Source organism: Homo sapiens, chromosome 15, assembly GCF_000001405.40.
Source record: "Homo sapiens chromosome 15, GRCh38.p14 Primary Assembly".
Taxonomy (NCBI): Eukaryota; Metazoa; Chordata; class Mammalia; order Primates; family Hominidae; genus Homo; species Homo sapiens.
In genome coordinates, this window is record NC_000015.10 from 27,327,040 (window position 1) to 27,344,751 (window position 17,712).

At 42.0% G+C, this 17,712-nt stretch overlaps 1 protein-coding gene and 1 pseudogene across 2 annotated transcripts in view, besides 1 other annotated feature; both read left to right on the top strand.

The window, feature by feature from the left end:
- Positions 1-17,712, top strand: part of GABRG3 (gamma-aminobutyric acid type A receptor subunit gamma3) — a 570,804-nt gene that overhangs the window by 355,859 nt on the left and 197,233 nt on the right. For both annotated transcript variants that reach the window (NM_033223.5, NM_001270873.2), the window contains exon 5: positions 1,767-1,849. In NM_033223.5, coding sequence (NP_150092.2) covers positions 1,767-1,849 — 83 coding nt within the window. The remainder of the gene's footprint in view (positions 1-1,766; positions 1,850-17,712) is intronic.
- On the top strand, positions 13,487-14,203 carry SERPINE4P (serpin family E member 4, pseudogene; annotated as a pseudogene).
- Positions 13,728-14,927: an enhancer, noted in NCBI's record as "BRD4-independent group 4 enhancer chr15:27585914-27587113 (GRCh37/hg19 assembly coordinates)". NCBI's record gives its function as "activates an origin of replication core promoter dependent on BRD2, P300/CBP, MED14 and CDK7 cofactors, and independent of BRD4, by STARR-seq in HCT116 cells {active_cell/tissue: HCT116}" and the evidence as "EXISTENCE:reporter gene assay evidence [ECO:0000049][PMID:35650434]".

Consider the following 17,712-nt stretch of genomic DNA (forward strand, 5'->3'; position numbering starts at 1 on the left):
GCATCGATCTTTGATTACTCCTGGTTTAAAATGGGATCCTTAATTTGAATCACTGTAGGAATGAGACCCTATTTTCATCTCTAAGTCTATTCTCTTTCACGTGAGACATACTACAGCATCCTGAGAAAGTCTGCCCTCATGCAACATGTGTAAAAATAAAAGCATACAGATGATCCACAGAGAATATAAGTTCATTTCTTCAGAATCTATTTCTGCTGGAAGTAGGCTGTGAAAGTTATTCTTAATAGATTTACACCATAGGTCCTCTCCCCTAGGAAAATACAGATGTCTTGGTGCACTAATCAACAAATGTAGTTAGAGTAAATCTGAGACCACAAGGAAGAGGGGCAGAGTCAGCCCCTTTCCCAGCACATCCCTAAGGGAAGTGGCAGCTCCCCTGGAGTGTGTCCTCCTGGAGTCAGGGAAGTCTTCGAAGAAACCCAGAGAGGTAAGGGAAACTGAGCTTCCAAGAAGGGAACTGACTCGCCCACAGTCACCACTGGGAGCCTGTCTCTCCCAGGTCTCTCCACTGGGATGGTCAGAGTCTAACTGAACACACAGCAACACAGCACTAGCAATGACGGGCCCTCTGCACTCCTGTCTGCTCGCCCAGCACAGGGACTGGATGGTCCCTCCAGCAGTGTCCTCTGAGCGGGTGGTGCTGCTCCAGAGGACACTGCACTCCCTTCTTCCTGAGGTCTCAGAAGCCCTGGGTGCATCTAGGCTTTGCTGTCATGGGCTCACTCTCACTGCCCCGGGGCACAGGGCTCCTTCTTGCACCTGCTTTGTGGCTGCATCTCCCCACTCTGCTCTTTCTGCCTCAGGGCTTGACCCCTGTCACTTTACTCTCCTTACCCATCCCTGCTGGCTTAGCTCATCCATCCTGAGAATGAAAGCCATGTGCGTACTGAGAATTCCCACAAGGAGAAATCTGATTCCTCACATTAAATAAATGTCCACAGCACCCACACAGGCGCAGATGGACATTAAAATAAGCAGACTGTGAGACAGCATTAAAGTTTCAGGGAAATCCTCATTTTGCCAGGGAGGGAACAATTACAGCAAAAACAAACAAACAAAAAAAAAAACCAAAAAAAAAAAACACGCCACAGCTGGGAACCATGCTGATGAAAAACATTGCGAGCTGGAGTTTGTAGAAGTTGTCTCCTCATCAGTTGTAAAGCCATACACCGGAGACTCTGACATGACACGGAACTTCAGCAAGCCAGGGCGAAGACCTGGCCAGTTCTGGAACCCCGTGTAGACACTGAAATATGGGGCTGCTGCCCTGGGAGGATGCAGGGCCCCCATTTGGCAGAGCTACCACCTGCCTAGTGAAAGAGGGGCAGTTGTCCAAACAGGAAATCCCCCCCGATGCGTGCATTAATTTGGCATAATAGCTGTTTAGATAAACACACCAGTTTCCAAATGGAGGAAGGATTTAATTCAAACAGATTGAAAACAACTTATAAAACAACAGTTGGTTTTGTCTCCTCTCTGACTTGGCGTGTATTTCTAGACACAGTTGGAATTTTACTAACTGGAATTCTCTGTGCCACTGATAGTTAAAAGCAAAACAAAATAACCCAACATGAAAGCAACACAGCACAGTCTCACCGTGAATGGTTCCCGGGCCAAGAGTGAGCCGCACATGCTGCCCTGGGTGACGGAACGGCCCTCTCCATCCCCACATGGGGTGCCGTAACGGCCGCCGGCCTTGCCCTGTGCTGTGTGCTGAGCTAGACTGACACTTGGCTTTTTCGCAGGCTCACCATCAATGCTGAGTGCCAGCTGCAGCTGCACAACTTCCCCATGGACGAACACTCCTGCCCGCTGATTTTCTCCAGCTGTGAGTACCAGTCCAAGCCCGGGGTGTGCATGCTGTGTGAGGGATGCCTAGCCTGGTACTGCTTCTGTCAAACAGTCATGTGATTGATCACAGTGTCCCTGCACACACAGAGAAAACTGATGATGGTTTCAGTATTGACCACCTGGGTGTTTTCACTCTAGACCTTGTCACATAGGAGCCATGTTACAAAATAGGTGATCTCGATAAGGCTGTGAGCAACTTGACCATTGACATGGAAGGATTCAGAAACTGATGAACCATTGATTTACCAAAGACCCTTATGCTAATGAGCTGTGCATACTATTTGGAAGTATACAAAATTCCTATGTAATATTTTAGATTTAACATTATCTTTTTTAAATTTATTTTTAATTTTTATTTATTTATTTATTGAAACTGAGTTTTGCTCTCGTCGCCCAGGCTGGAGTGCAGTAGCACAGCCTTAGCTGACTGCAACCTCTGCCTCCCGGGATTCAAGTGATTCTCCTGCCTCAGCCTCCTAAGTAGCTGGGACTATGGGCACGTGCTACCACACCCAGCTAACTTTTGTATTTTTAGTAGAGACAGGGTTTCACCATGTTGGTCAGGCTAGTCTCAAACTCCTGACCTCAGGTGATCCACCCACCTCGGCCTCCCAAAGTGCTGGGATTACAGATGTGAGCCACTGTGCCCAGCTGATTTAACATTATTTTAAAGTAAGGTGATTTGTCTACCAAGTAGAAAGATACAAATTTTTCTTTAATTTTACTTATATTTGTCTCATTGAACCATTGTAAGATGATTTAATTTTTCGTAGTATTTTATCTTCCAACATTTTACTTATGGTAGATATCACAGTTAATCCTTTACAAGTTCTTAAAGACAACATCTACTGCTTAGTATAAGAGTACATATAAAAGGAATATCAAATATCAAATCTATTTATACAATTTTTAAGTTAAAATCAAAATGGAAAGATATCTGGTGAATGAATTTACAATGGGGCATTTTAAATGAATTAATCACAAGTACTTATGTATGACTCATAAGAATTCAGTTTATTGTATTGGCTTTCTTTAAAATTGCATATGGGGCTGGGCGTGGTGGCTCACGCCTGTAATCCCAGCACTTTGGGAGGCCGAGGTGGGTGGATCCTGAGGTCAGGAGATCAAGATCATCCTGGCTAACACGGTGAAACCCTGTCTCTACTAAAAATACAAAAAATTAGCTGAGCGTGGTGGCAGGTGCTGTAGTCCCAGCTACTTGGGAGGCTGAGGCAGGAGAATTGCTTGAACCCAGGAAGCAGAGGTTGCAGTGAGTTGAGATCGCACCACTGCACTCCAGCCTGGGTGACAGAGGGAGACTCTGTCTCAAAATATAAATAAATAAATAAATAAATAAAATTGCATATGGAACATGACAAATCTGATGAAATCTCATGTAGAAGTTTTTGTGGCTTTCTTCATTGAATGTTATAGATTTTTCCCTGAACCTTCAAATGTAAAATATGTTCATCGCTTATTTTACTTTTGCTTCTGCTCCTCGCAAGTGTGCGGCCCGTGGAGGCCCAGGTCCAGATCCAGAGACCAGCAGAGCTCTGCACACCATGCACGTGTTCTCACTGGAAACCTTATTTCTTTCTGTAATAGCTTCCCTTGTTCTGTCATACTGTAAAAATGTGTTTAAATCATTCACAGAGCCTTTTAAGTGCTCAGTTCCAGGAGGGGATTGTGTGCACATGGACTTACACAATGCTGCCAGAAAGAATAGTGCTTGTATAAATTGTTTTAAAAAGATTTTTATAGAAATAAAATAATTTAAATTCTTAAAGACAATTCACACATAGTACTCAGGGAAATACATGAAAGTGAATGCCTTTCTGGAATTAGTTGGCAATGAGCATAAAGTACTAGGAAGAAATCTGGCATAGTAGTAAAAATGGTTTGTGTGACCAACCACATCTATTTCCCTATTTCTGGTGTGTCGTGGTAGTGATGGGTGGTCAGAGTGAATGTAGGAGCCAGGGGGTGGACAGTCTTATATATAATGTCAGAAAGTGGCACCTTCAATGCATGAGCAAAGAAAAATTATCATATCTGAAAATCAGGGAGTGGCAGGATCAAATTCATGTTCAGGAATAGTATGAAAGATCTTATAAGAGCAAAAGTGGGTGTACACAGTTATATACCTATTGGAATGGCAAAAATCTGAAACACTGGCAACCTTAAATGCAGTGGGGATGTGGGGCAACAGGAACTCTCACTCATCGCTGGGGGGATGCACAGTGTCACAGCCCTTTTGGAAGACACCTGGGTCGTCTCTTACAGAAGTAGACATACTGGTACTATATGATCCAGAATTTGCACTCCTTGGCATTTACCCAAATGAATTAAAACTTATGTCCACACCAAAACTTGCATACAGGTGTTTATAGCAGCTTTCTTCATAATTGCCAAAATTTGGAAGCAACCAAGATGTCCTTTGGTAAGAGAATGGATAAACAAACCACGGCATATTCATGCAATGGAATATTATTCAGCACTACAAAGAAAGGAGCTACCGAGCCATAAAGAGACATGTAGGAAACTTAAATGCATATTTACTAGGTAAAAGAAACCAATCTGAAAAGGCTGCATACTCTGATTCCAGCTATATGATATTCTGGAAAAGGCAAAACTGCGGAAACAATAGAAAGGTCAGTGGTTGCCAGGGGTTGTGGGCAGAGGGAGGAGTTTTAGGACAGTGAAACTATTCTGTATGATACTGTCATGTTGGACATATTTGTCCAAACCCATAGAATGTACAACACTAAGAATGAATGCTAAAATCAGTCCCTGGACTTTGGGTGATAATGATGTGTCAACCTAGGTTCATTGATGGTAACAAATGGACCACTCTGGTGGGGGATGTTGACAGTTGGGGAAAGGAGTACTTGGGAATTCTGTACTTTCTGCTCAATTTTTCTGTGAACCTAAACCTGCTTCTTTTTTAAAAGTCTAGTAAAAACTTATTGGAGGTAAAGAAATCAATTAGGAATCTATTGCAATCATAAACCAAAATGTTCTGATAGAGCCATATTATCAAATTAAAAAAAAAAAACTTGGATGCCCAAAATATAAAACAGTGCTTTAAAGTATAAGTTTTTGAACCACTTTACATGTGTAGCATTAATTCATATGTATAGGATTCACTATTCATAAATGAGAATAATAACACTGTCCTAATGAAAACACTCATTGGTAATTTGGAGTGATGGAGGATACTTGCATCTAAATCAGTTTGGTACCTAAGTTGTTTCCACATGATGGGTGTCCATTTTCAGGAAGAGGCCAATCCTAATACCAATAAGCAACTGAAAGTGAAGTGGGCTGGGCACAGTGGCTCATGCCTGCAATCCCAGAACTTTGGGAGGCCGAGGCGAGCAGATCACGAGGCCAGGAGTTCGAGACCAGCCTGGCCAATATGGTGAAACCCCATCTCTACTAAAAATACAAAAATTAGCCGGGCATAGTGGCATGTGCCAGCTCGGGAGGCTGAGGCAGAAGAATCCCAGCTACTTGGGAGGCTGAGGCAGAAGAATCGCTTGAACCCGGGAGGCAGAGGTTGCAGTGAGCCGAGATCACGCCACTGCACTCCAGCCTGGGCAACAGAGTGAAACTCTGTCTAAAAAAAAGAAAAAGAAGAAAAGAAAAGAAAGTGAAGTGGTGTCCCTGTTTGTGAACAGTTAACCTTGCAATGTCCTGGTATTTTTCAATTAAATACACTCTGAAGCTGTATTTTTCCACTTAAAAATTTTATAGTAACAAAGCTGAACAACTTGTTATATTCACTATCATACAAATAAAAGTTAGGAAAACTGCCCAAAATGTACAGTAAGATATAAAGTGATCATAAAATTGAGTAACAACTTTTAGGCTGGTCTTGGCTCTCTGAGTTTCCAATATATGCACAGAGATGAGGTGGTAACATTTACTATATAACATGTTTGGGTAATAACTTTGATTTTTATGTTTTAAATAGTTGAGATTTTTGAAATAATATTTTAATTAATTAAAAATTTCCTATAGCACTTTCTGTAGTCATTGTGGTTAAGGATCACATTTTAAAAATTCCTAAAATGTAGTTTAAAAGGTAATGTTATTAGTTTATTTAAACTTGTTAAAATTATTAAAACTAAATTTTAAATTACTTATATGGATGAATTAAAAGTGATTTTGATATGGACTCTTGGACAAACATTTTTAGTGTCCAGAACTTGGCCATAATTGTGTATTTAGTGTACTCATAGAAACTGAACCATAAAGAATATTCAATTGCAAACAGCATTGGTTGTTTTATTCATTTCCTATTACTCGTGCAACAAATTACTGCAAACTTAGTGGCTTGAAACAACATCAATTTAATATCTTACATTTCTGTAGATCACAAATCTGAACTGGGCTAAAATCAAGGTGTGGGCAGGGCACCATTGCCGCCTGGAGTCTCTGGGGGAGAATCTGTGCCCCGGCCTTTTTCAAGCTCCTAGAGGCCGCCCGCATTCCATAACGTGGGTCCCCTTCTTCTATCTTTGGAGCCAAAAACAGCACCTCTCTCTGATCCCACTTTTGTTGTCATATCTCTCTTAGACCACAGCAGGAGAGCTCCCCTGGTTTTGAAGACCTGTGTGATTAGGTTGGGCTCACCCACATGGGCCAAGATGATCTCCCATCTAAGATCCTTCACTTACTCACATCTTTGAAGTCCTTTCTGCCGCGTAAAGTGACACAGTAGCAGGTTCTGGGGTTGAGCAAGTGAACGTCCTTGCTGGTTACTAGTTTGCCTGCCACGAGTACTAGTCACTCAGAGCATTCCAAGACCTGGGAACCTGCCTGGTCGATATGCCACTCACAATTCTCAGATTGTCAGGAGAATCTACACAGCAGAACAAGCCCAAAATACATTTCACTAAAAGGAAAAATCATTCCCCAGTGAATTATGACAAACTGTATTGTTTAATCTGTGTCTTAATATATTTTATGGAAAAAATTAAATAAAAAGGCAAAATACAAATTTTGGTCATTTAGTTCCTCATTCCTTAAGTTGTTTTGAAAATAATTTGTTTTCTTCTTGGTTTTCTTTTGATTAAATGTCAGCATTATGAAATAAATGTTTCTTTTTGTCCAGCTGATTGGTTAATATATATTAGTATGAGCTTTATTTTACTCATGATTTCACTTCCAAAAGTTGTATTGCCTTTGAAAAATTAATGTGTCTAGCTTAGTATAGCTGCAGTATATACCTTTAACTAAACGATGCAATATACATAGATGTCATAATCTGTTTTAAGTCAACTAAAAAATTAATGACAAAATGTTAAGAATGCCAGTTTTACAACTCTATGCCATTATTTTTTCTAAAGAGAGGTATCTCTTCACACACATACACACACAGGCACACACATGCATATACACTTCTGTAAGCTAATATAGGGGTTCACCGGACCTCGACATAATCTCTTTCTGTTGTTTAGTTTGAGATATAGAAAATTATATATGCAAAATAAATGATCATTGGCAATTGTTTAAATTATGTACTAGATTAAAATCCCAAAGTTGAGATGCCATTCCTTTAATTAAACTTTCAACAGTAAAATAATTAGTACCCCACTGTTGACTCTTTATTGTGCAATGTTAAATCCTGGGACACTGGTCACACTAATGCATGGCACTGCTGCTGTTAGCGTGTCTTGAACCTTATCTTTAAAATGCTATGGTATGAGAAGTATGCAAGTAGCATATATCATTACTCTATCAAACAACAAGTAAATGATTTCTGAAGTTCGGTTGGATGTCTATGGGCAAAAAAATAAGCTTGAACTTATACGATAGTTAATTCCAAATGAATTGAGGCCCTAAAGTCAACATAAAAACACAATATATTAGAAAAAATACATAGGAAAAAATATTCACGAACTAAGGCTAGCAAAGAGTATTTATACTTGACACTGAAAGCATGATCCCTGCCCCCACAAAAAAGTGATAAATGAGACCTTGTCAAAAGTGAAAACTTTTGGTCTACCAAAAGCTTGTCATGAGGTTGAAAAGGCAAATTAGGCTGGGAGAAAACACTTGCAAACCAGAAATCTGATAAGGCTTGAATCTGTGATATATAAATACCTCTTAAATAATTTCATTTCTTTTTATGACTGAACAATATTATATCATATGCAATACTGTGATTTGTTTGTTCATATTCTGATGGGCACTTGGCTTGCTTTCATCTTTTGACTTTTGTGACTGCTATACCCATTGGTAGACAAGACCCCTTTTGACTGTTGTGACTGCTATACCCATTGGTAGACAAGACCCTGTTTGAGTCCCAGCTTTCAGTTCTTACGGGTATATTCCTAGAAGTGGAATTGCTGGACCATATAATAATTCTATATTTAATTCTCTGAGGAAATGACAACCTGTTTTTCACAGCAGCTGCACCACTTTACATTTTCACCAGCAATGCACAAAGATTTTAGTCTCTTCACATCCTCACCAACACTTGTTATCTTTTCCCTTTTTATTGATAACAGCCATCCTAGTGGATGAGAAATTGTAGCTCATTATGATTTTGATTTGCATTTCCCTAATGACTAAGGATGTTTTAATACATGCTATACCACGGATGTTCAGATGCATGCTATGCCTTTGGAAACATCATTTAAGTCAAATAAGGCCAACAAAAAAGGGATGAGTACTCTATGCCTGCACCTCCATGAGGTATCTAGAGTAGGCAGATTCACAGAGAAAGCAGAGTGGAGGGGACCAGGGAGTGGGGGGAGGAGAGAACGAGGGGAGCACAGAGCTTCTGTGTGGGAGGATGAGCAGGTTCTGGAAATAGAGTGGCGATTGCTGCCCAACATTGGGAATGTACTTACTATGACTGAGTTGTACACTGAAAATGATTAAAATGATACATTTTATATTATGGATTTTTAAATCACATTTTAAATGTATACTAAAAACTGAACAACAACAAAACAATCCAGTTAGAAATGGGTAAAAGACAGGCTGGGCGTGGTGGCTCATGCCTGTAATCTCAGCACTTTGGGAGGCCGAGGTGGGCAGATCACCTGAGGTCAGGAGTTTGAGACCAGCGTGACCAATATGGTGAAACCCCATTTCTACTAACAAACAAACAAATTAGCCGGGTGTGGTGGTGCATGCCTGTAATCCCAGCTACTTGGAAGGCTGAGGCAGGATAATCACTTGAACCCTGGAGGCAGAGGTTGCAGTGAGCCAAGATCGTGCCATTGCACTTCAGCCTGGGAAACAAGAGCAAGAGTCAGTATGAAAAGAAAGAAAGAAAGAAAGAGAGAGAGAGAGAGAGAGAGAGAGGAGAAGAAAAGAAAGAAAGAAAAAGAAAGAAAGAAAGGAAGGAGAGACAGAGAGAGAAAAGAAGAAGGAGAAGGAGAAGAAAAGAAAGAAGATGAAGAAAAAGGAAAGAAAGAAAGAAGAAATTGGTGAGAGACATAGTCATTTGACCAAAGGTGATATTTACATGGAAAATCTGCATGTGAAAAGATGTTCAATGTCATCAGCTATTATTAATAGTAAATGTAAATTAAAACCACAGTAAGCTATCACTACATACCTATTAGAATGGCTAAAATAAAAAAATAGTGGGAACATCAAATCCTGGCAAGGATGTGGAAAACCTGGATACACTGCTGGTGGGAATGTAGAATGACACAGAAAATAGTACAGAAGTGTCTTATAAAACTAAAACTGTACTTACCATATGACCTAGCGATTGCAAGCTTGGGCATTTATCGTGGAGAAATGAATAGTTATGTTGACACAAAAATCTATGTATACATATTCATAGTAGCACTATTCTTAATAGCCTCAAACCAGAAACAGCCCTCATGTTCTTCAGTGGTTAATGGTTAAGCAAACTGTTGGTACATCCTTAAAATGGATGACTACTCCACAAGAAAAACAAATTACTCATATATGCAAGAACTTGGTCTGCAACAGCATTCGAAGCTGAGTGAAGAATGCCAGTCTCCAAAGGTCACATATGTGGGATCCCATTTATATAACATTCTCAAAATAAGCAGGAAGTGAGAGCTAAGGTGGAGTTGTTAAGTGTCTTCTGTTATTTAAAAAATGAAAGAAGACCTAAATAAGTAGAAAAGCATCTTGTGTTCTTGAACTGAAATACTAAATATTATTAAAATGACAGTACTCTACAAGGTGATCTGTATTGGTTTTCCTCTGTTCTGCTTCTCTTTCAAACTTGCAGACACTTTCCTCTTATTCCCTGAGTAGCATCATGGTCTGCTTAGTTCTAAATGTCTTCATTTTCAGATGAACACTTCTTGTATCTTTTACAATATTTCTTAAATCATAGCTGTCTGATTGAAATACAATGCAAGCCACCGATACAATTTTAGATTTTCTAGGAGTCTCATTATAAAAAGCAAAAGGGAACAGGTGGAGTTAATTTTACTGCATTTTATTCAATACAGTCTATACAGAATATTGTCATTTTGCTATGCAATCAATATGAAAAATTATCAATGAACTATTTTAATAAAATAGCCTGAGATATTTTTATGCTAAGTCGTAGACACCAGTGTGTGTTTTATGACATCACACTTCAGTGTAGAGCAGCCACATTTCACAGCTCAGTAGCCTATTGCCTCTCAAGGCCACCGTGCTGCTGGAAAGCACAGTCTGAGACCCACGCAGAGGTCTTCACACAAGATGCACATCTTCAAAACCCTAGATTTTGTTTAGTATCAGTCATGTTCTTCATTCCTCTTTTCCCATTTTTTCTCCCTGTTTATTTCCAGCGTCTTTCTTTATACATGCTCTGCACTCTCTAGTCTCTCAGTTCCAGATTTGAAATCCAACTATGAGATGTCTTGACTAACCTAAAAAAAGCCATAAAATCTATGCAAATATGCATGTATTTGTATGTGCATAAACTAAATCTCTCACACACACAAATAAGCCTTGTGATTCAAAAAGTTCCAGACCACCCGTGCTTCTCTAAACCCCTTCCTATACATTCACTATTGGAACACAGGCTAGAGAAGGGGAGGAAGATACCTTCAAGTGCAACGCCGTCTCTGAATCAACTAGGACTGTTATTAATAGATAATTCAGCACTAAATATGGAGCGAGGGGAGTCTTAAAGCTAAGAAATACTAGTCATTGTTTGTTACTGTTCGGCTCCTCCTTGGGGGAGATTCTGCTATTAATTCATGTGCCCGAGCTGGTCGGGAATGTGGGGTCAGCGCTTCAGGCTGCCCTTGAGTGGGGCCAGTCTGAAAATAAGCCCTGTCCGCCTCAGGAAATGGAAACACATGTCCGCATCACCTGCTGCTTTTGATACTGGTACCCTAAAAGTTATCCATCAACACACTTCTTGTGGACGTGCTGTTAACCAGGAACGTGCTGGAAAGACCTGTGGTTGCTCCTTCTCCCTGCAGTGATGCCCCCCACCCCAGGCATTCTTTCCATCTCTCTTTTTAAACATACTTGCTATGAGGAGATGCCAGAAAACCAAAGGGCAATGGAAACCGATTTAAGATGATCAAGTCCCCTGATGTGGTGGTTCTGTGGTCCTGAGGTTAAGTTCATTGCTATTAAGTTTGATTCAGACGCTGGTTCACGGCACTCGCATCCTTCCAGGCCACAGGTCTGTGCAGAGTGTTGACTTGGGGAAAGATTCTCCATGCATCGCAGGAGGACCATGCTCCTAGTTAGGTGCTCAGTGCCCCCAGGGAGGCACCATGTGCGTTTCATGGTCAGCTTTGTTCCCTCCAGACAGTAAGGTGCCTGAACTGGACAGGACAACTACATTTATCTATGTTGCTATCAGGCTTTGCAATATTGACTGGCCGTGCAGAGGTACAGACAAACCAGCAAATGTATATTTTTGCACTAATACCTCCTTTCTTCCTGTTTGCAGAGCATATAGAGTACAGCAAACTGTATTTCATTCTAAACTCCTGTTGATGTGACCTAGGGAGAGAATCAACCACTCTTTAGTCATCCAAATGCTTCATATCTGGTGTGTGTATTATAATAAGCCAGGTCAAAATCTCCTTGTCTTCTGCCTACTGCCTAAGTGCACTAATGAGGCGGCCCACTGCCAGGTGGGGCATCCCAACAGGTGGGGCCTTCCCCCATGTCTTTTGCTGTGGCAGGAAAGGAGCATACTGCTCCTTTAGGAGACTCCAACTAGGAGGGTCCTGTCTCCTAGTTGGAGGAGTAAATCTCTAAATGGCAGCTTCTGCAAGGTGTCCACAGAGGCCCCGGGTCCTCTCACACAGAGGTAAGAGGTGTGGACATCCAAAAGGAAGTCCACCTTCCCAGGTGAGGGCGGAGCCTACCAGACATGTAGACGTCAAGGTCCTAAATGCTCAAGCATCTTCTTAAATCCACAAACTCTGGAAGCAGCTAGAGGGAGCTCTGCGGCATGTCCAGCATCCTGGACCTGTGAGTAAGAATCAAGCTGTTGCCCTGGGAACCAGGCTTCCCATCAAGGACCATGCTAGGCAGGCCTCTGCCACAGGTGAGGTGGATGTTTATCATCTCCTGCTTTGCCTGTTTCATATGCTCCACCCCTTGCCTTCTCCCACCCCTTCCTGTCCTTGCTTCCCGTTACTGTAGACTTGCACACCTTGTGGAATGGGAGGCTGCTGGTTGCAGTCAGTCGGGCTGGCTGTGCATTCCTGCTAAGATGACAGTGAAGTAACAGGGCTTCAGTATCGTCCCCCAATAACTGACCTCCTTACTTTGGTGGAAACTCACTACAGAGGGCAAACCACTGTACAGGTACACAGGATTGCGCTGGTTCCTTTTGCCCAGTCTTGAAGGTGGGTTATTTTATTCCAGCTTTAGTGACGTAATTTGTTCAGAGAGGTTAAGAACATGATCATAGCATTGATAAGAGACGCCAGCTTCTGAGGATAAGAAGGGGACTTCTCACTTTGAAGGTCATGGCCTTCTCACTCCATTTAGGTGACCCTGCGTGACTTGTAACAGTGAACCTGGAGGCATCGTGCCCCTTCCTCAAACATCCCAGAGTTGATGGAGGGAGGAGGCGTTGGGGCAGGAAGGCTGGGGAGGCGAGCAGTGAGGGTGACTTTCAGCATCTCTCAGGTTCCATCACACAGCAGCTAGCCTCTCCTCTTGTGTCAGGGAACCTTCTTCATCTCTCTAAACCCCTCTAAACCTCCCTTTCCCCATCTGCAAGGTGGGAATGACAGCAAGTTATACGATGATGGAAGGGACTCTAGGTGAAGGTGTTATAGATTCCCACTTAAGTTAGCTCAGAAAGCGTACAACCATGGGAGTGTTGTGGCTACATGGGCAGGAGCGGGTGCGAGGGATAATTGCACAGTTTCTCTGCGGCCTCTGGAATTCCCAGGGGAAAGAAAGTGCAGTTGTGGTAGACACATTCTACACAGGCAAGGTTTTCAAGGGCAGAGAAAATAGCCAAACCCTCACTAAGCCATCAGCCTTTCATACTGGGTTTCTTACTTCTCAATTTTAAATAATCTACCCACCAATGTACATATGTCTGTGCAAAGATTGCAAATACCAAGCTCTCTGTTGAGTTAAACATGCAACCAGGAGTATGATCCATACTCTCCTCTCCATAGTACAAACAACTTGAAGGAGCCACTGAGAGTTCTTGGCATTATTGAGACGTTTGCTCTGTCAAAGGCAAATTTTGCAAAAATAACAAGGTCAGAAAACCTTCATGTTTCTTACATCTTCCATAAAGGAAAAACTGAAGTCAATAAAAATGGAACCAAAGCTTCAGCAACAATTGTAATTCTAATCACATGGTTATCACCTCCTTGCTTTATACTAGTCAGACATTTTCTATTTTTCATGCAATGTAATCCGAAAGTGCTGTCTTACTGATGGGGCAGACAAACCCTGGAGAGTATACAAAAGAAACCATGTAAAGCAAGGACGACTTTGCTAAGAAGAAAAAAGTCCTATGCTACATCTTTCATGGTTCTGTTATGTACTTTTGTGCAGCATTTGCTTTTTGAAAGCTGTTTTTTAAGAACAGAGATTCAATGATGCATGCTTTTGTTTTGGGGTGTGTTTTGGAGGGAAAGAAGGGCAAGATGGCTGGAACACTGTGCTGAGAAATAAACAGACTTCAGAGGCCTGAAAGCTTCTTCAAACTACTGAAGAGTTAGCCAGGTCAGCAACTCTTCCGAGTATTTATTATCTAGTTCCAGATTTTTGTTTTGTTTTGTTTTTATATGTGGCTTTCCAGAATTAATTTTACTAGTGCGATGGTGTAGGAGAAGACATTTAATGGTAGGGTACTTTTTTGTGATAGAAATATTATTTGCCTTTTTAAGTATGTTTTTTCTTTTTTGCCCTAGTCAGAGTTTTAAGATTAGCATTAATTGGGGGTAGAGAGTAAAAGAGCTAACCGCTAGCTTCTTTGTGTGTTTTTGTTATAGTTTATGATGCATGTATTCACTCAAAAAGTTTAGAAAACTTTTATAAACTTTAAAAATCAAACTTGAACCAAGCTGAGTGTCAGGGAAGCCCTGGGTCAGCCCGATGACTGCGCCTGGCCTGCAGGAAGCTCCGTGCTAGAAAATGGAGCCTGCACACTTCCGTAGGTACATTCAGCCCATCATCCCGTTTCATCCTTACCTTGACTTTGAAGTCCCTGTTTTTTTAAGCACCCTTCCCAGCTGAGGAACATCAAGCACGAAGAGATGAGGTCATCTGCCCCTATCACGCAGGGGGCAAGGCTTTGAGCAGAGCAGAATGGCCAGCAAGTCTGCGCTCTCGGGATCAATATATCACGCGCCAGAAAGGGGCTCACGGCTATTGTTACCCCATTATTGTTGTTATTGGTGGAGGACAGTCAGAACCAAAAGACACTCAGGCCATGGAGTGTGAGATGTACACGGCTGCAGCATGCTCTGCCCTGGCTCGCCACTTGGGATGAAGATTAAAAAATATGTGGTGCTGTTTATCTCTGACAACTGTGTTGGCTGCAGCCATATTAGAGCCAGAGAAATTATTAGGAAAATGTCACTGCTGTTGCAGAGCTGTCAGAGATGTCTGAGAATGTTGCCTGGCTTTCTGAGTTTTAAGAGACAATGTTCCATTCTCCCAGGGTGATTAATTTGGAAGAGGAGTAAATGCCAGCGAGTGAAGCTCAGTGTGAGCATGTCAGAGTCCTGCCACTGCCACGTCATCGCAGTCCCAAGGCCATGTCCTGCTTTCCCACTGGCCTGACACAGGCCCAGCGCCAAGCAGTGGCCAAAGAACAGTGAGGATCCCTCTTCTGTGCATGTGTTTCCTGCTGATCTTCAGGGAAGCACATTCTGACCCCAGTCCCCACCTACCAATTTCCTTTTACAGATGCAAAAACCGAGTCTTAGGGAAAGAATTCAAATGCTGGTGCAGGGTCACACAGCTAGTGTGTGGTTGAGCAACCATGTGAACTCAGCTCTTGTTGTCCAAGTGCAGGGTTCTCTCCACTACCCCAGCCTGTGTCTCTGGCTGCTGCTAGCACATCACCCCTCCACAGCGTTCTGTATCATCTCCATTCATATTCTGGCCACTGCCTTCTCAATAAAGGAGTGAAAAACATGGACTCACATGCCAGACAGGACAATGCTGCTGCTTCCATTCCCACAGACCTTCCAGAGAAAAGAAACGTGGAAATGCAAGGGTTCGCAGATTCTCAGGGCATTCCCAAGGGACGGGAAGGATGCCTCTTTCAAGGGGAGAAGCTGGAACATTCTTCATCAGAGTATTGTGGACGTTATTCGAAAACAGCTTATTTAATTGCAGTAGGATTTCTTGGAGCTCCTTTCCCCTGTGCTTTGTCTTTGATCCACAGTGTGAACCAAGGCGGGGAGGCTGCCTCCTGGGTCCTGACTCCTTCCGTTCTACCTGGACCAGGGGCTCCTGGACGCAGAGCGTTGCTCCCGCCTCACCTGCTCCTGCCTCCTAGTCTGGACTCTTGAGAAGCTTCACGTTGTTGCCCATTCTGCTCAGAGCTTAAAGCACAAGGTACAGGGCTGGTTCCAGGATCACCTGGGCAGTGCCAAGGGGATGCGCTCAGCAAGTGACAGCAAGATACAGTAAATTACCTCTCAAAACAGACTTGCTACCAAAACTATCTCCAAGACCCTACCTGTCTACTCTAAAACTTGACATTTTTCTCCTTTAAGCTCCCCTGCCCTTCGCGGTGGCTCATGGATGGTACTGTGCAGTGCCTCGGGCTCATCTGACCATTCACAGTTGGAAACACGAAGGGGAGGGAGGAAGGGGGACTGGGAGCCAGCACCTCCCCCACGTGGCAGCTCTAGCAGGGCGAGACTGTCTTGGCGTGCAGAAGTCCCTGTGGCTGGCCCTGCAGTGCCTCAGTCATGAGCCAGGTGTGTCTCAAACAGACCTGTGCTTTGTTGCCGATTTAACAGCATGAAATGATAGAAATGAGAAATCTGGAAGTGAAATAGTTTCCCCTGCTGGACTGCTGCAGCCTTACTGTAATTAGGAAGAAAGTCTGTCAATGTATTTTGGTTATAAGTTGCTATTTCCATGCACCCAATCAATATTTTCAAAAAAGTTTGGCCTTGTTGATTTTGGAGGTTAGGGAGCATGTCTCCTGTGGGCTACTGAATGCTTCGATCACAGTAGGTGCTTAATAGGTATTTATATGTGTAGGTGGCTGTCTAAGCTAAATCATTTGCGTTAATAGCTTAAGATGATGCAACTCATGTAATGCTTCATTTTGGGAAATGCAATTTAACTAAGTGGGTGGTTAGCTCATTAATGAGGACATGTGCTGTTACCTATTCAGAACACGGTACGTCAACAAATTCTAAAGCCGTGTCTCAAAGAAAAGGAAACAAAATTTAAAAAAGGCATAGTTGAGGCACATTCTAGACTGATTGTGATTATCTGGGAATACAGCCAAACAATCCAATTATTATTTTTTATGGGAGCAAGAACAGAGGACTTGGGTAATGTTTAAATGTGCCAGATGGACTGCCTTCTATACTTCTAGGCACCTTTCCTTTTTTTGGATGACCAGGATCTGGAAAAAATCAGAAAAGTTTATGCATTTTCACCCCTTGTGTTGCAGCCATGCCAGCAAGGCAGAGACTATGGCTTTGAGGATGATGCTTGCATAAAAAGGAGGACATTCAGCTCATGTGGAAGGCTGTACTTCCAGAGAAACCAGCGAGGGTAGCATCTCAGTCCTCATCTTATGAATAATGTGATCTGTTCTGAGGGGTCTGGGGAGTGAGGAGCAGCATGAATTTTCTCCCTAGTTAGGCTTATTCTGACCCCACACTCTTTCTTGTACTAGCATATATGGGGTATCAGAGACACTGGGGCCAAGGCCCAGGCCTGGTTTAAAGGAAGGATTTCCTTGATCATCTTAATACCTTAGCACTGTGAGGTGGTGACCTGTTTTTATTTTTGTCTCTGTAGACATGATGCAGGTTGTAAAGGTCAATATAAATATTTTTTGGTTATTTAGTGTGCAGGCAAGCTCATTCTGTTGACTTGTCTTTCTAAAGAAGTTTCACTAAAGTCTCGTTGCAGTGAAAAGTTAATATTGTATGGAAATCAGTATCTGAAATGTTCTCTCTATTTAGCTAAATTAAATACTGAGAACCTTTGTAAGGATATGTAATTTTTATAATAAAGTTATTTTGATCATTGTATCAAATTCTAGAAAAATTAAGAAATTTGCATACCAACATCAAGCATACCAAGCCACAAATTAGTATACTTCTCTTTGATTGTAGGTTGATTAACTAATTGGGAAATTACCAATTGATAAACCATTTTTTTAATTTAAATTTTAGTCTTGTCTCTGCCATT